The 26851-nt window shown below is 34.9% G+C and overlaps 2 long non-coding RNA genes across 4 annotated transcripts in view; one reads left to right on the top strand and one right to left on the bottom strand.

Moving 5' to 3' along the window:
• Positions 1 to 465: 465 nt before the first annotated feature.
• LINC01040 (long intergenic non-protein coding RNA 1040) lies at positions 466 to 23368 on the top strand. The gene is made up of 2 exons (NR_131228.1): positions 466 to 601; positions 22838 to 23368. It is a non-coding gene; the product is annotated as a long intergenic non-protein coding RNA 1040 (long non-coding RNA).
• Positions 23369 to 25183: 1815 nt separating this feature from the next.
• The window catches only part of LOC107984621 (uncharacterized), a 73346-nt gene continuing 71678 nt past the window's right edge, over positions 25184 to 26851 (bottom strand). For 2 of the 3 annotated variants that reach the window (XR_001749953.2, XR_001749952.2), the window contains one exon: positions 25191 to 25260. This is a non-coding gene — a long non-coding RNA (uncharacterized LOC107984621). Of the gene's footprint in view, positions 25261 to 26851 lie in introns of all 3 variants that reach the window. The other variant, XR_001749954.2, reaches the window with a different exon arrangement.

The following is a 26851-nucleotide window of genomic DNA, read 5'->3' as shown; positions in this document are numbered from 1 at the left end:
TCACAATAAACATTATATAAATACATACACATACATAAAATAGTACTATAAGAAATCATAAGTAAGTGGGAATTTAAAAATTTACATCTTATTCTGCTTTGGAGAATGAATACTTAGGTAATACGTTTTTTCTTTTGAAATAATCATTTGGATGATTTTTTTTTAATTTGTTTTCTCACGTATAGGTACCAGGTAATTTATATGTTGTTAAATATTAATATTTTATAACTTAAAATTTATTTTCTAATTTCTACATGAAATTTGTCTGAATAATTTGTATAATAAGAACTCTCCTGCTAAGAGCAACTACATCGACAGAAAAACTAAACAAAACCACATGCATTATCAGAGGGCAACTAAGACAACTAAGGCTTTGTGTAGACAATCTTCCAGAGGGAGGAGAAAAAGAAGAGAAATGTGTTGAGTAGTTCTACTTTTGATTTTTTTTCTCCCTTGGATTATATGCAGATCCTAAGCACTGGGTATGAAGGCCAAGCAAAAAGCCTTGGTTCTGGGCAGGATCTGCAGTCACATTTCTAGATTACCAGCTCATCCAGGACTTGAGAGACCAAGACCCAGGAGAAAAGGAAACCTCAGAGAGGTGAGCCTGAAATTCATGTGCCAATTTCCCCTGAGGATTTTGTCAATTCCTGAACTGGCAAGAAGAGTAAAAAACCAAAAGTAGCAGCTAAGATGGTAAAAAGCTTCTAAAAATTTTCAGGAACCACACACACACACACACACACACACACACACACACACACACACACACACACACGCACACACACATTATCCACCACGGAGGAGGACTTCAGGAAACCATTCCAAACTTTAAGTTGAAAATACAAAGGGACTACACAGTTGGATCAAAGGTGAACTAGAAAGGATTGGCCTTCACAAAGCTTGACTTCTAGTCTTAAAATATGAAGATTCCTGACAGAATCAAGCATGCTTGAGAACCCTGACTAATACATGCTATTTTATATATATAAATAAAATTCTTGAATATAATTTTTATACTTTTACTATTAGAATATTAATTTGAAATTTTTAATGTCCTTTGTCACAAGCCTTTTATATATTTTTATATGTGCCAAATTGATGATGAATATGTCAACATTACTTTTGAGTAATGTTTTACTGATTTATATGTACTTGTACCGTTTACTCCTCTTTGAGCAATGTGAAATCACAGATTTTTGAATGAGAAATTGACCTTGTCTAATTTAGGACATTATTTTATTTGCAAAAAACAGAATTGAAGTGTTCTGATTCTGAATATATTTTGAAGGTTTACTCAACAGAAGTTGCTGGTAGATTGGCTACGGGGTAGCAAAATGAAAGGAATGATGGATGACCTCATATTTAGCCTAAGCAAAATACACATGTAACAGAATATTCTACATCCTTTGAAATTATTTATAATAGAAATTTTCAATGACATTGTGGCATAAACTTAATATAATTTAAAAAGAAATATAGGATATATAATTTAAATATAATATGGACTTCATCATGTATGTAATTTTGTAATACAATGAAATCTAAAAGTATTTTAAATGTTTAGCATGAGTTATCACTATAGTATTGTGAATAAATTGTTTTATTTATTTTCATTTATCAATTGCTATTTTTAAAAGTAAGCAGTAGGTATGGAAATTCCATATCTGAGTATGTTTATGCATATCTATATGTACTACAAAGTATAAACAATAATACTATGTTATTGTGTTCCCACAAAGTATACACACATGAATTTATAAATCACATGCAAAAATATGTTAAGTATCTTATCCAGTATATTACACAAGTGTTACTATATATGCACACTTATATTGTAAAAAGTATGTTCATGTCATCACTATGTTTCAGTATCTATTCAGAGTTATATTTTAATACTATCAAAGAACAAGAAAACAGAAACTATCCTGCATTTTTTCAAATAAAAACTTCTGAATAGCAAGGACAATAAATTTAACCTCTGAGAAAGAAGCAAAACATAATATAAGTTTCTTTTCATTAAACGCAAAGAAAATGACAAACGCAGCTTAATCTACCTTGTGGCTATAAGCCCTGCATTTATTTATGCTGAACCTGACAGAATCAGAACTTTCTTTTATACTTTGAAATGAAGTGCTGAGAGGTATGAAAAACTACATTCAGATACAATGTATATGATAACAAAGTCAACATAAAATTTCTAAATTAATCTTATATCTATTCATTTCTACCAGTGACTTAACTTTTATCAAATAAATCAATTTCGAATATAACTATTCTTCACATTATAGTACTGTTTAAAGTATAAAATTATTTTGTAATAGCAGTTATTTGCTTACAAAATCAGAAGTCCAGACTTAAGGAAATGCTAAGAGTGAAAAAAAGAATTTGCTGGGCTATCCAACTACAAAAAAGGGGCATTTTGGCCAGCAAGGAGTTCAGTACCAGTAGCAGCAATGATAATACAAACAAACCTTTATCAAGTGCTTACTGGATGCCACTCATTGCCCTGATTTTCCACATGCAAGGTCTACTTAATACTGCAAACTAAAGGAGTTGGTACTATCAGTACCAAGTTTTTAAATAATAATTTTTATCAGTATTTCTTAATTTTATTTACAATTTTGAAAATTTTTGTAATGGTTACAATACAACAGTATAGGATAAAACAGTATAGGAATATTAGCAAACAAACAATCACTGGGCTTGTGACCATTACTTATGAATTCTGTTACAAAAACAGTTTGAAGGTCACTGCCATAAGCCATAAAAGTTATTAAAATTCTTGAGTAAGATGATAACTTGTATTTTAGAATTTTTTTATTTCAGAGTTGTTTCTTATGCTACCAATAGACATTTCGTTTTTAGAAAGAGAGCTCTGACATCCCCAAATATGTTCTGGATTAATAGTAAAATTTAGTTCAATCATTTTAATGTATAAACTTGTATTAACAATAAAAACACATTTGCCTTTTGAAAATTATTTTTTCAGCAATTTGAAAGATTGCTAAAGTCAATTTGCTCAACATTTCAATGGTTTTCATAGTTGAAACAGCTCACAAAAACGTGGTTCCAAATGGCAAACTTGACCACAAGCTTGAATGTAAATTACGTTAAAACAAGATAACACAAGACAGAACACAAATTAATCTAGCACGTCTAATCTGTGATAAATCCCAACACAATGAAAGCAAATGGATATGGGAGGCAAACCTCTTCTCTTAGGATAATTTACACACTATACTGTGATATATGGGCCAAATGAAGGGTACCGTGTCTACCTGCACAAAAGACACACCAATGAAGCACCCTCCCCATGTAACCTGTAGTTTGCAGTTCATTCACATCCATTCATTCTCACATCTGCCCTTTGCCCTATTTGTTTCCTGTACTGAAATATTCTTTCCTTACCTACCTAGTGAATCTACTCCATTTTCAATATCAACTCAAATGTCACCTCTGAATGGTAATTCTTTGTGCTCAACCTGTACTATAATCCTTTCCTTTCCTTTCCTTTCTTTTCCTTTCTTCCTTCCTTCCTTCCTTTTCCTTTCTTTCTTCCTTCCTTCCTTTTCCTTTCTTCCTTCATTCCTTTTCCTTTTCTCCTTCCTTCCTTCCTTCTTTCCTGTCTTCCTTCCTTCCTGTTTGTTTTAGACAGAAAGGATCTCACCCTGTTGCCCATACTGGAGAGCAGAGGCGTGATCATAGGTCTCTGCAGCCTCGAACTCCTAGACCCAACTGATCCTCCTACCTCAGCCTCCTGAGTAGTGGGGACTACAGGCACGCACCACAATGCCCAGCTAATTTTTTTTTTTTTTCTTCACAGAGACAGGGTCTCACTATGTTGCCCAAGCTGGTCTCACACTTCTGGCTTCAAGCACTCCTCCCACCTAAGCCTCCCCAAGTACTGGGATTAAGGCATGAGCCACCACACCCAACTAGTTCTGTGACTTCTAATTTCTTCCTTTCTAGGCCGAGTTCTTTGCATTACCACATAAACACAAACTGCTTGATAAGTGCTTGCTGTCATATTCACAAGACACACTTAAATGGTCAAAAACTAAATTATGAAAATAATGTTTCAATGTAGAAAAGTAGACTAAGAACTAGAGATACTCAGACTCCCAAGTTATTTTTTCCTAAAGGTATTCTATATTAAAGATATTTTCTTTTGTTGTTGTGATTAAAGTGGACAGCTTACTCAGCAACACTGAGCCAATTCAACATTTGATCATATCTGGATTTACTCAAGAGTAATGTCCTGTCGTTTCTTATCACCACCATTAGCACTGCACAACTTCTTATTAGCCTTATCACCCATTGTTATGATAAACGAAACACAAAACCATTCACCCAAAGCAGCTGTCTTTAGAGGGTAATAGCTTCTTTATCTAGCTGCAGCAATACTCTTGACTTTGACTAAAGACTGAAATTTTATTCTAACCACTATCAGACAAGGCAACTGCAAAGGTATTCTTTGTTTTTTTGTTTTGTTTTGTTTTTCGCAACTTCCAAATTCTGAAGAAAAACTTATTTTGTAGAAGAAATACCAACATTACAAATGCTTAATATTTCAGATAACTAAATCTTAACACTTTCCTAAAACACTTAAGGTGTCTAAATGTTTTACTTCTCTTGTTCATATTTGAATATTACTAATTATATGAAGCCTTATTTAACTTAATTTAAAAATAAACATTTTTTGTTAGGAAGGTATTAAAATGAAATTAAGTATTTTATTTGATGTACATATAACTGGATAGATGTTCACATGTTCTTTTGATATCTTAATTATCTTAATTTATAACTTAACTTGTTCCCAAATAATTTTTGAAGTGGTAATATTTTTTAAAAACCTCATAGCTTTAGACACACAAAAATCATTTTAAGATGACAAAACAGATAATTTATATTTTTTAAACATTCAATGAAAGTAATTTTTGTATTTTTCTCGTGTATCGAAAATATAGTGCTATAATTACAAAGCACAACATTAAGATGTAAACTATCTGAGTAAATATATTTTTGCTCTTCTAATAGTGAATCTCATACTTTTCATTTGAATTAATAGGAATTTTGGCAAGCAGAAATAATGTGTCATAAGCTTTATCCATTCAATCTGCTACTGCTCAAATAATTCAAAACTCCTTTTCTTGAGATGATTTTGGAACCTGTCTTTGTCTTTTCCTTTTTTATTTAATATTTTGTACATTTAAAATTGTATGTATATTGTATATCTAGTATGTGAAGAAAAATAAAGTGAATGTTGAGAAACTCAGTAATAATTATTTTGAGAATATTTTGTTGTATATATGTAAGATATAGTATTTAGAATTGTTCTTACTGTTGGAGTGTCTGTTTGTAAGAAGATGTAACTCTGATAACTTCCAGTTTAACCAATATCAGTGGGTTACTTTTATTGAAAAGAAAGAATGTGTTATATTCCAAAACTTTAAAAAGTGCAGCTAAGGTACTTCTATACTATAACAATCTATAATGAAGTTACATATACAATTATTTTATTTTTCAAAAATCAGAAAAAAACAACATAAACAATATCTTACATTAGAAATAAAGCACTGGAGTTATTCTAAATTTTAGCTATTTAAGCTATGCAATTTGTAAACAGCTTGAATTTCATAATAAGTACAACAAAAGGTATGCATGTTAAATAAGACATTATCTGGAATTAAAGACTGCTTGCTGATAGTAGATCACACCCACTTTATTCACTAGAATATATAAATTCAACTTATTCCTGGTTTATACCACACCTTGGGAATCATGTAACTATAGTCCAAGACACACATTAAGAAGATGCTATTTTACATTTCCCTGAAATAAAAATCTACAACTGTCTGCCTAAACAGTCTATTCTACCTTAGACATTTATATGTGACAGATATTTTTTTGTAGCTTTGAAATTATATTGACATTGCCTGAATTATGAAACCTGTTTGAAAGCCTCCAAATGCCTTCAAGGAAAGCAAAACATTGAATGGCACAACCTGGGCATCAGTTAACCTACATGAAAAAGGAAAAGTATGGTGATTTTCATGTTTCTAATCTTAAGAGTATCAGAGGTTGGTGATGGAGAAACATTTTTGAAAGGAGTATCCCTCCTGTTCACAGTATGGAACATGAAGTCAACCGTACATCCCTTTTGTTGGTTTCATCACTTTATAGCCTTGCGTAAACATAAAACTACCAAAAACTCAGAAGATACGTCAGAGAGTTGCTGTTTTCTACACATTTCCTGTGAACAATTAGACAGTTGTGTTCTTCTCTTTTTCATAATAACGTGACTTTTAAGTCTTTTTAGTTCTGTACCCAAATGAAGCATTAAAAGCAGCTTTACCTCTGAAAAGAGAGAGGGAGAAAATAATATATCTTTGCTCTGAATCATATTTTGTCAGCTTCATGGATGCCCTGGAAAGGCAAAATTAAAATTAAGCAAATTACTTTTATAAGATTTATAAATGCCAATCAGAACAACCAAGCCAGGGATTTCTGCAGCACCTGTCTCTATGAATCCCCACTCCATTTTACTCATTTGTTTTTTAAAACTGCATGGAAAAAAATCCTTGAAAAATATGATTTTCATAGGACTTGGTAAATATCTCGCATGAAGCAAAAAGGAAAACAAGTCAAGATCCTAAAGCATAGAGAAGAAATATATATTAAGTTGTAACAGAAAACAAGATGATGGTCATGCTTAAAAAGATGCATTGATCTATCTGTGTTTCTAAGACAGATATAGAATCATCTGCAGATAGCTGCAAGGCCAACTAGAATGTGGTTAGATCTAATGTTTAAGTGAGAACATCGAGTTTTGCTATAAGATAGCAGGGAAGTTTCAAGAAATAATAAAGTAAAGGAAATAAGAAGCAAAGCAAAGCACCAAGAAGGCATGTATATAAACCACTTCCAAAAATGTTCAAATAAAATAAAAACCATAAAAATGATTTAAAGAACAATCTATTGTAATAAAATAATTCATAAATAAAACATATTGGAAGTATTAAAACTAAGGTTAAGACGTTACTATTCTCTCCAGGTAGGTTATATTGCAAAATCTACCATTGTTCTATCAGAATGTATATTATAATTGATAGAAAATCCATTGTATTTTTTGCACACTAAACAACTATAGTGTGTTTGCAAAAAAACAGAAACTTCCAAGTGATGTAAACATAGATGTGAGCACAGCTCTATCACTTAATAGGCTCAGTCTCAATTTCTATATCTATGAAAGTGAAATGGTTGGCTTCATATGTGTTATTACTGTGTGATATGGTTTTCTCTGTGTCCCCACCCAAATCTCGCCTTGTAACTCCCATAATTCCCACATATTGTGGAAGGGACCTTGTGGGAGATGACTGAATCATGGGGGCAGGTCTACCCATTATTGTTCTCTGATAGTGATTGAGTTTCATGAGGTCTGATGGTTTTAAAAACGGGAGTCTCCCTGCACAAGCTCTCTCTCTTGCCTGCCACAATCCAAGGAGGAGACTTGCTCCTCCTTACCTTCCACCAAGATTGTGTGGTCTCCCCAGCCATGTGGAACTGTAAGTCCATTAAACCTCTTTTTTTTCCAGTCTTGGATATGTCTTTATCAGCAGCATGAAAATAGACTAACGCAGTAAATAAGTACCAGTAGAGTGGGTGCTGCTGAAAAGATACCTGAAAATGTGGAAGTGACTTTGGAACTGGGTAACAAGCAGAGGCTGAAACAGTTTGGAGGGCTCAGAAGAACACAGGAAAATGTGGGAAAATTTGGAACTTCCTAGAGATTGGTTGAATGGCTTTGACAAAAATGCCGATAGTGATATGAACAGTAAGGTCCAGGTTGAGGTAGTCTTAGATGGAGATGAGGAACTTGTTGGGAACTGGAGCAAAGGTGACTCTTGTTATGTTTTAGCAAAGAGACTGGTGGCACTTTGTCCCTGCCCTGGAGATCTGTGGAACCTTGAACTTGAGAGAGATGATTTAGGGTATCTGGCAGAGGAAATTTCTAAGCAGCAAAGCATTCAAGATGAGACTTGGGTGCTGTTATAGGCATTCAGTTTTATAAGGGAAGCAGAGCATAAAAGTTTAGAAAATTTGCAACCTGACAATGCAATAAAGGAGAAAATCTCATTTTCTGAGGAGAAATTCAAGCCAACTGCAGAAATTTGCATAAGTAACGAGGAGTCAAATGTTAATCCCCAAGACAATGGGGAAAATGTCTCCAGGGCATGTCAGAAGTCTTCATGGCAGCCACTCCCATCACAGGCCCAGAGGCCTAGGAGGAATAAAATGGTTTCATAGGCCAGGCCCAGGGTCTCTTTGCTGTGTGCTGCCCTGCATCCCAGCCACTCCAGCCATGACCAAAAGGGGCCAAGGTACAGCTCGGGCCATGGCTTCAGAGGGTGCCAGCCTCAAGCCTTGGCAGCTTCCACGTGGTGTTGAGCCTGTGGTGCACAGAAGTCAAGAATTGAAGTTTGGAAACCTCCACCTAGATTTCATTGGATGTATGGAAATGCCTGGTTGTCCAGGCAGAAGTTTGCTGCAGGGATGGGGTTCTCACGGAGAACCTCTGCTAGGGCACTGTGGAAGGGAAATCTCAGGCTGGAGCTCCTACACAGAGTCCCTACTGGGGCACTGCCTAATGGAGCTGTGAGAAGAGGGCCACCATCTGTCCTCCAGACCCCAGAATGGTAGACCCACCAACAGCTTGCACTATGTGCCTGGAAAGATGTAGACACAACACCAGCTGGGAGGGAGGCTGTACCCTGCAAAGCCACAGGGGCAGAGCTGCCCAAGACTATGGGAACCTACCTAGTGCATCAGTGTGACCCAAATGTGAGACATGGAGTCAAAGGTGATCATTTTGAAGGTTTAAGATTTTACTGCCCTGCTGGATTTGGGACCTGCATGGGGCCTGTAGCCCCTTTGTTTTGGCCAATTTCTCCCATTTGGAATGGCTGTATTTACCCAATGCCTGTACCCTATTGTATCTATGGAGAAACTAACTTGCTTTTGATTTTACAGGCTCATAGGCGGAAGGGACGTGTCTTGTCTCAGATGAAACTTTGGACTGTGAATTTTTGATTTAATGCTAAAATGAATTAAGACTTTGAGGGACTGTTGGAAAGGCAGGATTGGTTTTGAAATGTGAAGACATGAGATTTGGGAGGGGCCAGGAACAGAACGATATGGTTTGGCTGTGTACCCACCCAAATCTCATCTTGAACTGTAACTCCCTCAATTCCCATGTGTCATGGGAGGGACCCAGTGAAAGGTGATTGAATTGTAGGGGTAGGTCTTTCCTGTGCTGTTCCCATGATAGTGAATGAGTCTCATGAGATCTGATGGTTTTGAAAATGGGAGTCTCTTTGCACTAGCTCTCGCTCTTGCCTGCCGTCATCCATTTAAGTTTTGACTTGCTCCTCTCCTTGCCTTCCACCATGATTGTGAGGCCTCTCCAGCCATGTGGAACTGTAAGTCCATTAAACCTCTTTTTCTTCCCAGACTTTGGTATGTCTTTATCAGCAGCATGAAAGTGGACTAATACACATGATGTCAGCATTTGCTTCTGGTGAGGGCTTCAGGAAGCTTTTACTCATGGTAGAAGGCATAGCAGGAGTAGGGGTACATGTGTCACATGGCAAGAGAGGGAGCAAGAGAGAGAGGGGCAATACTAGACTCCTTTTAATAACCACATCTCAGAGAACTCATTACTATTGAGGGATCACCAAGCCATTCATAAGGGATCTGCCCCTATGACCCAAATACCTCCTCTTAGGCCCTGTCTTTAACATTGGAGATCACATTTTAACATGTGATTTGGAGGGAACAAACATCCAAACTGTGTCATGTTTCCTAAAATTCATATGTCAAAAACCTAATCACCAATGTAAAGTCATTAGGAGGTGGGTGCTGTGGGAGGTAATTAGGTCATGAGGCCTTCATGAATGGGATTAGTGCTCCTAAAAACTAGGCTTCAGAGAGCTGTCTCTGAACATGAAAATACATTCTAGCACATGAAAACACAGTTGTTTCCTCAGGAGAAGGTGGTGTTTACATGAACCAGAAAGCAGGCTCTCATCAGACACCAAATATGCCTGTGTCTTGGTCTTGGAATTCCCAGAAACCAGAACTCTGAGTAACACATTTCTGTTGTTTATAAGATATTTGGTTTATGGTATTTTGTTATATCACCCGGAACAAATTAAGACAGTATCCAATTACCTACTTGCTTACAATAGAAAGATTAATAATTATTGTGTTGATGACATATTTGTGAATCAACAAATTCTAGGTTTGTTTCTTTTTCTTCTTTTTGAGACAGTCTCACTCTGTCACCCAGGATGGAGTACAGTGGCACAGTCTTGGCTCACTGCAGCCATCGTCTCCCGGGTTCAAGTGATTCTCCAGCCTCAGCCTCCTGAGTAGCTGGGATTACAGGTGCACACCAGTACGCCTGGCTAATTTTGGTATTTTTAGTAGAGATGAGGTCTCACCATGTTGGCCAGGCTGGTCTCAAACTCCTGACCTCAAATGATTCGCCTGCCTTGGCCTCCCAAAGTGCTGGGATTACAGGCGTGAGCTGCAACGCCTGGCCCTGTTTCTTTTTCTTTATTGTTACCATCAACATACACAGTGAATATGTTGATAAAAAGCAATGCAATTTTGGAAACTGTACTCCATGACATACATAAATTGCCTGGTAAGTATGGAAATGTTTATTTTATTTTACTTCATTTTGTTTTATTTTTTGAGACAGAGTCTTGCTCTGTTGCCCAGGCTGGAGTGCAATGGCGTGGGTCTTCACTTACTGCAACCGCCACCTCCTGGGTTCAAGCGATTCTCCTGCCTCAGCCTCCTGAATAGCTGGGGTTACAGGCATGTGCCACCAGGCCCAGCTAATTTTTTGTATTTTTAGTAGAGATGGGGCTTCACCATGTTGGCCAGGCTGGTCTCGAACTCCTGACCTCATGATCCGCCCACATTGGCCTCCCAAAGGGCTGAGATTACAGGCGTGAGCCACAGCGCCTGGCCTATTTTTTATATATATTTATATAAAAACATTTATTTATAAATGTTTATATATATAATAGATTTTAATTTATTTGATCTTTGTTTAAAATTTATTACAACTATATTTTATAAAAACATAAAATGACAATACATTTTTTTTGCTAAAATAATCAAGTACTTTATTGAAAATACCCTCAATTACATAAAGCACAAAAAGGAACTATTTACATACCAGTGACCACAGGAAGTGTATGAATCAAGAGACCACCCAGGTAGAATAAAGGTATTATTTATGATTAACTACTAAAATATTCTCATTCTTAATTACAGTTGAGCTCTTTAATTTTTTCAAATTAACTGTAAACTATTGTTTAATCATTTATTAACCTTTAGCAGCAAGAATGGCAACCACGGAATTGACAGAATATATTTGTTTGAGAATGTTATATTAGATTGAGCCAAATGAAATTTCTAGTATCCTATTTGTTTTTTTACCATATTGATAACTTTATATGTTTCAATAAAAGGATTTTGTTCATTTTACCCTAAAATATGTTTGTTTAAGGAAGATGAGGTTTTTCATTTAAGATGTAAACACTTGCACTATCTTTGTAAAAATTAAACTCTTTCTGTGTGTGTACACATACTTGGCTGGCTCTCTCTTACACCTATAGTAAAAAATAAATTTTCCACTATGTATGTATGTAAATAAACACAAAGTAATTACATGGTTAATAAATACATATTGAAGTGTTATATGAGATATAGAACAAATTATAATATTTAGAAAAATCAATACATTCTTAAATATTAGTAAAATATTTCTTAAATATGTTGAATGCATTCTTAAAAACTTAGTGTGAAATAGTTTTATATGCAGCAGATGTCTCCCAATTATATTTCTAAATAAATAAATATTAAAAGATTAATGAATTGGTCATAAAAAATGCATGTTACAGAATATTAGTGTATCTTTTTTTTTTAACCTATGTAATGACTTTATTTTATTATTATTTTTTATTATTATACTTTAAGTTCTAGGGTACATGTGCACAAAATGCAGGTTTGTTACATATGTATACATGTGCCATGTTGGTGTGCTGCACCCATTAACTCGTCATTTACATTAGGTATCATTGCATAAGCTATCAATGCAATGTAAGATCCAATAATATAAAATATGAGCTTAATAGCTAAAAAGTGTTTTGCTGATTTGGCGAAGAGACACATATTTTTATTGAAATAGACACTATACCTTTACGAATCAAGTTTCTGAGGCATATGGCACATTAGATGAAATAATATAAAACATAAAATATATACTTATATTAAATAAATATAAAACACAATGCCATGACTATATAGTTGTATTAGTCCATTTTCATGCTGCTGATAAAGACATACTCAAGTCTGGGGAAAAAAAGAAGTTTAATGGGACTTAACAGTTCCACATGGCTGGAGAGGCCTCAGAATCATGGTGGGAGGTGAAAGGTACTTCTTACATGGCAGCAACAGGAGAAAAAATGAGGAAGAAGCAAATGGGGAAACTACTGATAACCCATCAGATCTCATGAGACTTATTCACTATCAGAAGAATAGCACGGGAAGTTACCTCCATCTGGGTCACTCCCACAACACATGGGAATTCTGGGAGATACAATTCAAGTTGAGATTTGGGTGGGGACACAGCCAAATCATATCAATAAATAACTAATTTAACAGGTAAATGTTTGGCAAACTAATCAAATTAGAAGATTAATTTTGTTTTTAGCTTTCTGCAACCCAAGCCATAAAGAGAAGAAATGTTTCATTATTATTATTGTAAATAATATTTAATATTTTAGTTAATATTTAATTATTATAAATTTATTACAAATAAAATTGGTTTAATGTGTCACATGCTTTTAGTTTTGTAGAATTTGTTTTGTTTTTCTGTAGAGACAAAATTTTCCCTGGCATTAAATCTCATTAAAAATAAAAGTAGCACATGGGTCATTTTATAAAGTAACATAATAAACATTATACTCAATTTCATTTTTGCAGAGCATGCATAAGGTAGACATGCTTTCTAATGAATTTCATCGATTCCAATGCATATTTTGTGGAATCATAGCCATGCCAACAGATTGCTATAGAGAGCTAGAGCACACTAAACCAAATACAGAGTTTTGGGAGGTTTAAGTTGATAGAAACAGAAATGTTAAAAACATAAAGAAAATCTAAAAATGTCCCTTATATCATCTCTTAGGTCATATAGACAGCTTTTAAGTGGATTCCAAGATTTTAAGAATGCAATCTTACTCTTACCTCATGTATTTGCATAAGCTAATTATGTTTAGCATGCCACACCAACAGCAGTATGGGGAACGTTACAATAAAAAATATGTTAATTTTTATAGTTCTGGCTCCTTATTCTCCCAACCCAAGCAATAAATTCTCATATTTTTGGGTTCCAGACATGTCACTTTTGAAAAGAAAGTGGTTATCAATATGTGCATAGTATGCTACTATTATTAAATCATCAGTGGACTCTTGAATCTTTTTTACAGTGGCTTTCCAGGAAATAAAAATGGATTCAGTTTGATCTTCAGCAAATCTGGAATAACGTGCCATTTCATGATAACACCATATATTATACAGTGATCTTATCCATTTCCCATCGTCTTGTTTTACAGAATAGATTTGATCTTATCACCATCTAAACCTCACCAGTGTAGACGTGTGCGTGTGTGTGTGTGTGTGTGTGTGTGTGTGTGTTGAGAGAAGGTCTTTTTCATTTTATTTACTTACAGGTTCTCAAAGAAAAGGCAATTATAGTTCTCTTAAAATATATAATTTGACCTACCTACTGCAAGTAATATGGGCGAGACTTTTCTGCAATAGATACTATTTAACAGGATATTTTAAAGAAATATCTGAGGTATAGATGTCCTTCATTGCAAACTGGCACAGTTGTATAAGCTTAAGAAATAAATATCAAAGATCAAGTTTACAGACCTGAAAGCTAAAAATGTTGACATATCTTTGTTTTCCAGCTAGGTCAGCCTACCATTTCTGGGAAATAAACCACATACATTCTAAAAGTTATAAAAGGAGCTGAGCTACATATCTGTCCAAGGACTGATATGAATGCCTATTTGAAACCCCCATTTTTTTTTCACAAACCACTGAAGAAATTTAAATTAGTCATGGAAAAATAAATAATGATAATACTACCCATAAACTTAGCCATTAAAAATTAGAATGATTCTTATTACAATACCTGATTCTGAGTAGTGTTACCTCTTCTTGTGAAGTGGGCTGAAAAATGTGCTTTCAAATATATTTGGCCTACTGGACATAAATATTATCTATTGTTTACATTTTAAAATAAGAATTTATAATATTTACTACACATCACAATTTCATGTTTAGAAAAATAAATAAATATGATTTTTAGAGCATGCTAACAACATAGATAAAGATGATTGTTATTTTCTCCAGCAGATTCACTGAAAAGTAACTATTTTATTGTCATTTGACACAGGATAGTTTCTTCGCATTTGAAGCACTTATAACATCACTGTACTTTTTATGGGAAATGTTATGATACTGGAGTATTAGCCTTAGGAGGGACTATGTGATATTATTATCTCTTGGCAGAACCTTATCATGGAGAGTATGAGAATTCCAGAAAGAACAGGACTACCAGGCTGCTTCACAGAAGTCTTATGTCATGCTCTAATGATGATTTGTGATCATTCTGTAATCTAGCTGGTTAGTGATCCTTAATCAGTTTAGTCATTTTAGCAGGTTTTTTTGGTGAATTAATTCTTTAGACATATTTCCTTTTTGTGTCTGTTTTGAAATAATGTTTCAGTTTTAAAATCTGAGAATAATTTTTATATTGCAAATCATTTTTCTGTAACAAATTAAGATAGGAGATCCTCCAGTATCAGTCAATAAGTTGGACATGTAATATGCTTGTTCCATTAGTACTTGAAATTTAAAGTGAAATCTGTAATGATAATTTAAAAAAAGAGTAAAGCTGAATGCAGTGGCTCACACCTGTAATCTCAGCACTTTGGACGGCTGAGGTGGGAGGATTGGGTGAGCTCAGGAGTTCAAGACCAGCCTGGGCAATATAGAGAGGCCTTTAGTTTTTTAAAATTCAATTAAAATTTAGTTAAGTGTTGTGGCTCATGCCTGTAGTCCTAGCTACTACAGAGGCTGAAGTGAGAGAATCGCTTGAGCATGAGAGTTCGAGGCTGCAGTGAGCCATGATCACAACTTTGCACTCCAGCCTGGCCAACAGAGTAAGACTCTGTCTCAAAATAAATACATCAATAAATTTTTAAAATAAAAGAGTATATAAAAATCCCAAATCTTCATAATATAAACAAGAGCAATAATGGAAAATAACACTTATTTTAGTGGATTTTAAGGTAGTTAAAGACATGGACATTCAAAAATATTATTTTACCCAAATATTTGGCATGCCTGATTTGACTATTTTAAATATAGCATAGCTAAACACACCCTCTTTAATTAATTTTTAAATATTTATTTAACCCAGACACTCATAAATTCTTTTTACTGACTGAATAGATAAATGTTTCTAATTGCATAACAAATAAATTTTTAGCGAGGACAAATGTGATGCGCAGTGAACAAAAATACTCAAAAAGATAATAGATTAAAGGAAATGCATAATGCATATATATATATATATATATATATATATATATATATAGAGAGAGAGAGAGAGAGAGAGAGAGAGAGAGAGAGAGAGAGAGAGAGATACACGCTCTCTGTCACCCAGGCTGGAGTGCAGTGGTGCAGTCCTGGCTCACTGCAATCTCTGCCTCCCGGGTTCAAACGATTCTTATGCCTCAGCCTCCCAAGTAGCTGGAACTACAGGCACACGCCACAATGGCTGGCTAACTTTTGCATTTTTTTTGTAGAGATGGGATTTCGCCACATTGGCCAGGCTGGTCTCAAACTCCTGACCTCAGGTGATCTGCCCGTCTGGGCCTCCCAAAGTGCTGGGATTCCATGCCTGGCCTGGAAATGCATATATATTTTTAAAAACTTATTATATGGAATTATATGGAAATATTAATTGCAATAATGTGCTGTGTATTTAGATAACTCAATATAAATTAAATAATATAAATGAAAGTCAATTTTTAAGTTAAATTTAATAACAAAAATGATAAGTTAATTTTTACAGATTATGAAACATTTTTAAAGTTTTGTTTGACAAGTATCTAAAATTTCCTGAACCCAAGTGCCAGCTAATTAAAATCCACTAAATTATGGCCATTTTATAGGATCACTGGGAGTCAGGAGAGCTTCTGTTGCAAATACTTCAAAATAAAAAATTATTCATCACAAAGAAATGGGATTATTAGCCCATAAAACTTGTTTAAAACAAATAAATCCAAATTTGAGGATAAAATGTATGCTTTACATATTTATCTGTAATATATATACATAAATGCACATATTTGGCATTTTGTAGGTCTGTACACATAGTACGTTTTCTATTTGAAGTCTCTTTTTTGAAATGGAGTCTTGCTTGGTTGCCCAGAGCTGGAGTGCAATGGTGCAATTCTGGCTCACTGCAACCTCCGCCTCCCTGGTTCAAGCAATTCTCCTGCCTCAGCCTCCCGAGTAGCTGAGATTACAGGCACACACCACCACGCCTGGCTAATTTTTGTATTTTTAGTAGAGACTGGGTTTCACCATGTTGGCCAGGCTGGTCTCAAACTCCTGACCTCAAGGGATCTGCCTGCCTCAGCTTGAATTAGAACCCTATTTTATACATGAAGTTCTAAAAAGCTAAAGAAAAAATATTCTAACCTATTTGTGAAGCAAATTCTATCCATGGCATTCTAAAAGATTGAGAACTTTATGAAAATGATAAATTATTATATATAGGTCTACATATCCAAATTTTAAATATAAGTTAAATCAAATTTTAGAAATATATACATTTCTACTGTGTAACAAATGAGTTATAGTATTGGGGAGCCCCAAAACCAAAATTTCTCTGAGTATACTATTTACATATACTGTACATTGTTCAAAAATCTCCTGTTAATTTGATATCCAAGTGCTTTCAAACACTGAAAAAAAAAAGAACATTCTTTTTGGAAACGAAAATTTACAGATGCAGTGTCCTCCATAGAGGACTATTTTATCTCTGCTTAGTTCTTGCCTGTATCCTTCAAATCAGTATTAAATTTAGTAGTGATAAGATCTACATTTTAGTTTTCTATTTCTTCCATAAGAAATTTCCACAAATTTGGAAGATTAAAAACACAAATTTTATTACTTTACATTTCTGTATGTGAGAACTCTGACATGGCTTTCCCTGGGCTAAGACCAAGCTGTTGTCAGGCTGTGTTCATTTCTGACTTTCTGAGGGCTTTAGGGGAGAATCCATTTTTCCGCACATTGAAGCTGTTGCTAGAATTTGGTTCTTGGCAGTTGTAGAATTGAGTCCCCCAATTTCTTTCTGTCTGTTTGCTGAGGGCTGTTTCGAGCTTTTAGAAACCACCCATATGCCCTGATTCGTGGTCCCTGCCTACATTGTCAAAACCAGCAACAATGAATGGAATTCAGGAGTCTCTCTCACACTTAGAAATCTCTCCTTTTCTTCTGTCATCACATCTCTCTAACCGGTTCTTCTGCCTTCCTCTTTCATTTCTAGGAGCCCGTGTGATTTTCTTGGTCCAATCCAGTTAATCTCAATAGTCTTCCTACTTTAAAGTCCATAATCTAATTCCATTGGGAAAAATTATTTATTCATGTAACATAATTTATTTACAAAGGCCACGGATTAGGCCATGGACATCCATAGGGGATGCTCTTCTGCCTATCACAGTCTATAATCAGTTGAAGTCTGCTTTGAGAATTCATTCCATAGTGTTAACACAATAGAGAGATCCTACAAGAACATTTACCATGGCCTTCAAAGTGTTACGACCTCAGCGGCTTTACACTTGCTCTTTCCTCTACCTCAAAAGTGTTTCCATGTTTGCTCAAATAATGTCCCCATCTCTGTATGGTGCAGGTCTTAATGTAAAAAGGATTTCCTATTCATATGTAAATTAACCACTGGTCGCACTTACTATTTATCAGATTACCCCCAATTTATTGTCTTCATAACACTTATTACTGTCTAAAATTATCTGGTAAAATGAAAGTTAATCTAGAAAATAACATGTTTACAGAAAATAAACAATAACTACACTTTATACAATTCTTACTTGAATTGGAAAAACAAAAGGCTACTTGGTATTCTTACAGGAGATTAGAATAGAATAGAGTTTCATGGAAAAATCAATCTGTGTAAGAAAACAAAATCCAATATAAAATGTGTTATAGTGGCAATGTATTGTAATAAAAGCTTAATAAAATAGCAATCTAAATGGAGTTATATTAGAAGAGACAGGTAACTAACTAGAAGTCTGTTTTTAAAGATATAGTTCAAATAGTAGGTCTATATATTCTACATATATTATCATATATGTAGGAACTTCCCATTGAAGCTCCTTTTTATTATCAATGGCTTGATATTATTATTTTAAATAAATGAATTAGACATATAAAATTCTAAGTTTATAGATTATTATTACTAACTAAAAAAAAATTGCTTTCAAATTTGCCTCTTACCTGCAAAAGGGGCAGGTGTATTGGGAGTAAAATGTTCTATTTTCCTGTGGCTAGTGGTAAACATTTCTTGCATCTTTGGCTCTTAGAAGTTAATTGCTTCTTACAGTAAGTCATATTAAGCACTGAACAATTTATGTTAAAATCATCGCTAAAAGCTCAGTGTGGTGGCTCACACCTGTGATCCAGCAGTTTGGGAGGCTGAGGTGGGTGGATAACTTGAGCCTAGGAGTTCAAGACCAGCCTTGGCCACATGGTAAAACCCCATCTTTGCAAAAAATAAAAAAAATTAGCCAGGCTTTGTAGTGCATGCCTGTATGTAGCCTCAGCTATTAGGGAGGCTGAGGCAGGAGGATTGCTTGAGTCCTGAAGGTGGAGTCAGTCTGCAATGACCCAAGATCATGCCACTGCACTCCAGCCTGGGTAACAGAGTGAAACCCTGTCTCAAAAAAAAAAAAACAAAAAAAAACACTGAGTCTTCTTTTATGCATAGATACTAGGAAATATGTACTTCCACTAAAAGTACTACCCAAATAAAATATTACAAATTGTATTAATTGATAGAGTTATAAATAATCTAGAAAATATAGTAAATGTTATTTACTAAACATTCATAAAATGCATTTTTCCAAGTCAGTGTCCTTTCATTTAAAATCAAAAACTAAAATGTTTAATATTTTTATTTTTGACATTAAGAATAATGTTACCTTATCATTTAAATTTTAATTCAAATCTTCATTAAATGATTTTGAATGTTTAATGAATATTTTAAATGAATCAAGCTGCAACTATTAACCTTTATGAAACAGAATATGAATTTACTAGTTTAATATTATTAACCATTATTTACCACAGTCTACATTTAGAAAAAATAATGCTCTAATGTCATTGTTTAAATTTATTCTTAATTACCAATACTTAATTACCAGTTCATATTTAATTACCAAAGGAGTTGGCCATTTTTAATATTTTGGTTAAATCAAATTAAATCATAATTCATTTTACTTTATTTCATTCTAATATGTATAATCTTAGGATTTTATATTTAATTTTAATTGATGATATGAAAAATATTGGAAATCTATTTTTAATATTGAAATTTCAATAAAATGTCACTTTAAAATAACATTTTAACAAAAAATTTTTAGTATTTAAATGCTAGAGATTCATCTAAAAATAGAATCAAGTACATTCACAAATACTGAAGAATAAAAAGGACAAATATGTGGATCAGATAGCTTCTGACAACAGACTGCCAAAAATATTCTCATCTATCTATTAGATGTTCTCACCTAGAGTTTATAGAGCTGAAATATTGCATTTAAAAGAGCTTATAGTCAAAATTTCAATATATAGTCACTGAACTTCCAGAAAATTCTCAATGGACATAATTCTGTATCTTAAAATATCGCCACAACTAAATCACTACCACCATCACACACCATTTTTGATAGTGAAGGAGTTCAGTTTTGCCTCTGTACTTTGGAACTGTGCACTGGTAAATACAAAAGCTCCTGGCCACAGTTTTCTCAATGCATTTTCCTTAGACAGCTGTCTTGTTTAGTTGACTGATCCAGTGTGACCTGCTTATATTACTGTCTTTCACACTCTGCCACTGCATTCTAACTTCTATTATATTATTGTTTCATTAGCTTTATTTACTCATTCTGAATCCTCTTTTTCAGTTGGTCTCCTAGCAACACAATCAGCTTCCCTGTTGTCATGTCCTTGGATCACACAGATCAAAGAAGAAACCCTGCCTCACACTGTCTCATCTCCACAGAATCCCTCTTCCAACCTTCCTATCTTTTCTATTTCCCATTGATAGAGGGAAACTTGTAGACTCTTCTCATCAACAAAAGATAAAAAATTTATTTGTTGGCCGGGCGCTGTGGCTCACGCCTGTAATCCCAGCACTTTGGGAGCCCGAGGTGGGCAGGTCACGAGGTCAGGAGATCGAGACCATCCTGGCTAACACGGTGAAATCCCATCTCTACTAAAAATACAAAAAAAATTAGCCGGGCGTGGTGGCGGGTGCCTGTAGTCCCAGCTACTCTGGAGGCTGAGGCAGGAGAATGGCGTGAACCCGGGAGGCGGAGCTTGCAGTGAGCTGAGATTGTGCCACTGCGCTCCAGCCTGGGCAACAGAGAGAGACTCCATCTCAAAAAAAAAAAAAAAAAAAAAAAAAGTATTTCTTCATATAATTCCAGACAGCAAAGGAGTCTCCATATTCTATTCCTTATTCCATTTCTCAAAGTATAAATGCTTAATTTTTTAAGCACACACACACAAATAATTATTGCTGTTTTTGTCTTCACTGAAATATTTGTCAAGCTATAGTCCAAGAAGCTATGAAGGTCACCAGATATCTTTCAGGGGGTCCATAAAGTAAAAACCATTTTAAAACTATTGCTAAGAAGTTATTATCTTTTCAACTGTCATTCATTTATGAATGCAGAGTTAAGTTTTCTAGATGCTAATGATGTGATGATATCATTCTAATAGTTTAACAAAATGTGGACTTGTGCATTCGTGTTTTTAAATTTTCTATTTTTAATTTAATATGAAATATATATGAGTGTGTATATATATATATATATGCATGATATATCTCTAACAAAAGTTATTGGGTCTATCACTGCATTTATGTATCTAATGGGGTTAAAGATAAAAAGATTGAGAACAGATCCTTCACTGCATATGTGTTGCTAGTGAGTCTTACAAAATTTACAAGTTTTGTTTTATTCTCTACCTCAGTTTAGGTGTCAGGAATGATATATGTAGTAATTTGTAGAGTAGTAGACCAAACTTTGATGAGCTGACAGGTGTTAGATATGTGCCATCTTTTGAAAGATGCTGTATTGCATCTGATTAATTTCACATTTCTGCTTTAGAACGTTATATGTCTTTAAGTATAGGAATAAAAACATTAATGTAATAAGAACCTTAAGTCTTTGTGCCCTGAGGGTGTCATAGCAGAGATGAAGATTAGTTTTTAAAAATAATTCAGAAAAATCTGAGCCCATAATCAGCAGTGCCAGAGTGTTGAAGTTTAATGCTGGGTTATGTGAACCAAAACATAGTATATATTAGTTTTCATGCTTTCAATCAAAAATCAGAGGTATATTACTGACTGCAAGAATTCTCTGTGAATACAGCAATGTGTGGGTGGTCCTCAAAGCCAATTTAATTTATTGTGGAACAGTACCCTCCCCTGATGCCTTAAGCAGATTCCCTCTTAGCATGGACTCTATTTCCCTCTCTAGGTAATGGCATGAGAGACAGACTACTACTTGTTACAGTAAATTAAATGCTTCCCACCTCTTTATCTCAAGTTTTCAAGAACTTCACTCTGATATCTGTACACTGCTTATTTTGCTGAGAACTCTTTTAAACTTTGAACTTAAGGGAGTGGAGTTGAAATCTGTCCATTAATATTTCCCAGACTGATATATTCAATCTTGAAGTTTTTTTAGAATCATGTGGACATTGGCTTACCAAATAGTCAGAACATTAGTAATGAATTTGGATTATTAACTTAGTATTAACCATGAATAAGTAAAAAGAAATTAATGTGAAACATAGCCTTATTTCATTGAGTTAGGTATAGACCCTTTGGTGACTGATTCTAATTAATATGTTTCTTCTCTATTTTATAAGTTATTAGTATTTATTAAACTGTAAAGATTTAAGCTTTGTTTTATTATGAAATTATTTTTATAGATGTATGGATTTTTATAAAATCTTACTTTAAAATTTGGTGATAAGCATATGAATAAACTATAGTTTGACTAGTGCATATAGATAGTTTGAAAAACTACATATCCTTTATTTCTTCATAGACCACGAGTCAGTAAACTATTGCTTGTGAGTCAAATGTGAGCCCTGTGATCCCACTACCAATTCGTGTATGAGCTATGAATGTTTCTTACATTTTTAAATGGCTAAACAAAATTTTAAGAATAATATTTTGTCATGTTTTAAACTTATGCACAATTCAAGTTTCACTACCCATAAATAGAATTTTCTAGAAACAAGCTTATCCTATTCCACTAGGTATTATTTGTGACTGTTCTCAAGCTACAACAGCTGAGTAATTTAAACAGTAATCAGGACATGTCTTTAAAGCTTTCACCCCAAGTTTTCTCATCCACAGGTCTTAATTTTCATCCAGACCACCTTCAGCCCACTTCTACTGACCACAAGCTTTTGGATCCTGCCCTGGGTCTCTGAGCACAGCAGAATACAGGAGAATCCCTTTCTTCTGGAGACATGATGCCTTATCTTCCCTCCCAAAGGACCATCTCTGCTTCAATTCCACTGCCAGCCACATCCTTGCTACCACCCTCTTACTACTTCCTATTCCAGCCAAACTGTATTAGTTTTTAATTTATTTCACTCAGTTATTCTTATTACAGTTTAAATATAGAAAATACAAAATATGGATATTTATTTTATTTCTTATTATACAAGCATATCCATGTTATCTTTGATATTGCTACTTGGTCCACACAGGTGGATAAGGTACCATATTTACCATCTGACCCTTTATAGAAAAAGTTAGCTGACCCCTCGTCTAAACTATGAAGACAGAAACATCTGTTTTTTTCCTTATTGTAGTCCCACAACAGGTGTAAATGTGTCCTAAATGAATATCATTAAGTGAATAAATGATGGAAAAATTGTATTTTCCTGTATTGTCTAATAACCAGATATATTCTTATTCTTTATCTGTCACCTATTTATCCTAATTTCAACTAACTTATCTTTTCCATGAATCATTCTCAACTAACTTCAATTGGGACTGATTTCATGAACAGACTTCAATCATTTTAACATTTCTTTGCTATTCATTTACATATTTTGTTTTTAAAGATCAAGTATAATTTTGTGAATAATAAATTATTATACTATTTGTTGCTTGTTAGCAGGTGATTAGATGCTATATCCCTTGAGAACTAAGTTTCTCTGCAATGACTTTCACTTTCTACAGCATCTTATGAATTATGATTGATATAAATGTTCACAACATGTTTCTGGAATTCAGTGACCCAATGAATGAGCTGTCTTCACAAATGAAAAACTAAACTTCAGCAAAGCAAAATACTCATCAAAATTCAAAGGTGTGTTTTAATTGGCCTGGAGTTCAATGACACTCAGGAAAAGTAAGAATACACTATACTAGTTCCAGCAAAAATTAAATAAGTACATTAATTACTTGTGTATGTTACAATAAATATGCTTTAAAAATAAAGTCATCAGTAAATAGAAGATAGCCAGCTAATGCAGCCAGGTGGAACAGCTCCCACTGAAATGACTGGCGTGCTTATAACAGCTCTTCAGAGGGAAGATGCTAAGTGGGTAGGGAAGGAAGGCACAGAAGCTGGACTGAAGGGGGATAAAGCTGGGAACACTGTATGGGGCTATGGCACAGAGGCACTCATTTTTGGACCGCAACAGCTCCAGGGGAATGAGTAAGTTAAATTGGCAAGCAGCAACCTTGTCTTGCCATGGGCCTCTGGAGCCCCAGCAGTAGGAGACCTCAAACAACACGAACACTCAAGTTGGCAGAAAGAGCTTTTAGAGAAGTGGGAGGAGCAGCAAGACAGCTGATGTGAAGCCCAGAAGGTTTGATGCAGAAACATCTGAAGTGGAGTATGGACAGGGATGGCCATTTCTCTAGACTTGACTTGTTGCCATAGGAGACTTTAGCTCTAGGGGAACTGTCAAACTGATTTCTGCAGGGTGGTTTTGCCCATCAGATGGGGCTGGTCTGATCTGAATAACCCTTGGTCTGCTGGCCTCTCCTGGCACCTCAGCTTGGGCATGCCTGTTTGCAAGGAAGTCCTGGGTGCCCTAGAGACCCACACTATGGCTTTTGCACTTGCTGACTGTGCCTAACTAATGGAGACCTCCAGTCAGGTGGCTCCTATGGCCATACATAGGCCCACCTACTCCCTCCCCATACTGCAGCTTCTTCTGGGCCCACACTGAATGATCTCTCTCCTGCTTGTGGGGCACAGAGGAGACACCCAGACCTGTGCTTGCCAGCATCTTATCCCCAAAACAACTCCACCTCAAGTGCAACCATGCACACAGTGTCCAGTAGGGGCCCACTGAAGCCCCAACTGTGTTGCCTGTGCCACTGTGGTGCAAGTCTGCAGGAGACTGCCACAACTGACAAACCTTAACGCCCCCAGCACAGTAAATTCCAAACCTTGAGGAGCCAGAGAGAAAAGCTGGGGCACAATAAGTGTCCTTCAGAATTAGAGCACACAGTACAGGAATCAGGAGTTGAATGTTGGCCCCCTAATACGTTCCAGAAATTAAGCCAGTCTGCTGAAACCACATTATACCATAATCAATCCCTCACAGTCATCAAATAGGATTAAAAAAATAAAAAAACATCCAAATGTCAGCAATCTAAAAGATTGAAGGTAGATAAACCCACAAATATGAGAATCAGCACAAAAAACTTGAAAAACTTTAAAAGCCAGAATACCTTCTATTTTCCAAATGATTGCATCACCTCTCCAGCAATCATCTTTCCAGCAAGGCTTCTGAACCAGGCTGAGGTGGCTGAAATGACAGAAAAAGAATTCAGAATATGGATACGAATAAAGGTCATTGAGCTACATGTTGAAACTCAATGCAAGGAAGCTAAAAATCTTCATAAAACAATGTAGGAGCTGACAGGCAACACAGCCAGTATGGAAAATAATGTAGTCATCCCAATAGAGCTGAAAAACATACTACAAGAATTTCATAATGCAATCACAAATATTAATAGAAGATTTAACCAAGAGGAAGAAAGAATCTCAGAGCTTTCAGACTGCCTTTCTGAAATAAGGCAGTCTGTCAAGAACAGAGAAAAAATAATAAAAATGAATGAAGAAAATATCTGAGAAATAGAGATTTATGTAAAGAGACCAAATATATGACTTATTAGTGTCCCTGAAAAGGATGGGGAGAGTGGAACCAACTTGGAAGACATATTTCAGGACATTAGCAATGATAACTTTTCCCAACCTAGCTAGAGAGGCAAACATTCAAATTCAGGAAATGTAGAAAACTCCAGTAATAAACTTCACAAGAAGATCATCTCCAAGACACATAATCATATTTTTAAAGGTCAAAATGAAAGAAAAAATGTTAAAGACAGCTAGACAGGAAGGTCAGGTCACTTATAAAAGAAAGCCCATTAGACTAACAGTGAACCTCTCAGCAGAAACCCTTCAAACCAGAAGAGATTTGGGGCCAATAGTCTACATTCTTAAAGAAAAGAAATTCCAACTCATAATTTTATATCTGGCCAAACTAAGCTTCATAAGCAAAGGAAGAATAAAATTACTGTCAGACAAGCAAAGGCTGAGGGAATTCATTACCACCAGACTTCCCTTAAAAGAGCTCCTGAAGGAAGTGCTGAATATGGAAAGGAAAAATTGTTACCAGCCACTACAAAAACACACTGAAGTACATAGACAAGTTATACTATAAAGCACCCATATAAACAAGTCTGTAAAATAACCAGCTAAGATCATGATGACATGGTCAAATCTACACATAATGATACTAACCTTTAATGTAAATGGGCTAAATGCCCCAATTAAAATACACAGAATGACAAACTGGATAAAGAACCAAGACCCATTGGTATGCTGTCTTCAAGAGACCCATCTCACAGACAATGACACACATAGGCTCAAAATAAAGAGATAAAAAAATCTTATTAAGGAAATGGAAAACAGAAAAAAAGCAGAGGTTGAAATCATAGTTTCTGACACAACAGAATTTAAACAAACAAAGATCAAAAAAGACAAGGGCATTACATAACAGTAAAGGTTCAATTCAGTAAGAAGATCTAACTATCTTAAATATATATGCATCCAGGAGCACCCAGATTCATAAAGCAAGTTCTTAGAGACCTTCAAAGAGATTTAGATTCCCACACAATAATAGTGGGAGAGTTTAACACACCACTGACGATATTAGACAGATTATCAAGACAGAAAATAAGCAAAGACATTTAGAACCTGAACTCAGCACTGAATCAAATGAACCTCATGGATATCAACAAAACTCTCCACCCAAAAACAACAGAATACACATTTTTCTCACTGCTACATGGCACATAATCTAAAATTGATCACAGAATCAGAAGTAAAATACC

This window comes from Homo sapiens, chromosome 13 (assembly GCF_000001405.40).
Source record: "Homo sapiens chromosome 13, GRCh38.p14 Primary Assembly".
Classification (NCBI taxonomy): Eukaryota; Metazoa; Chordata; class Mammalia; order Primates; family Hominidae; genus Homo; species Homo sapiens.
Note: the sequence above shows the minus strand (reverse complement) of the source record. Positions and strands in the feature narration are given on the sequence as shown.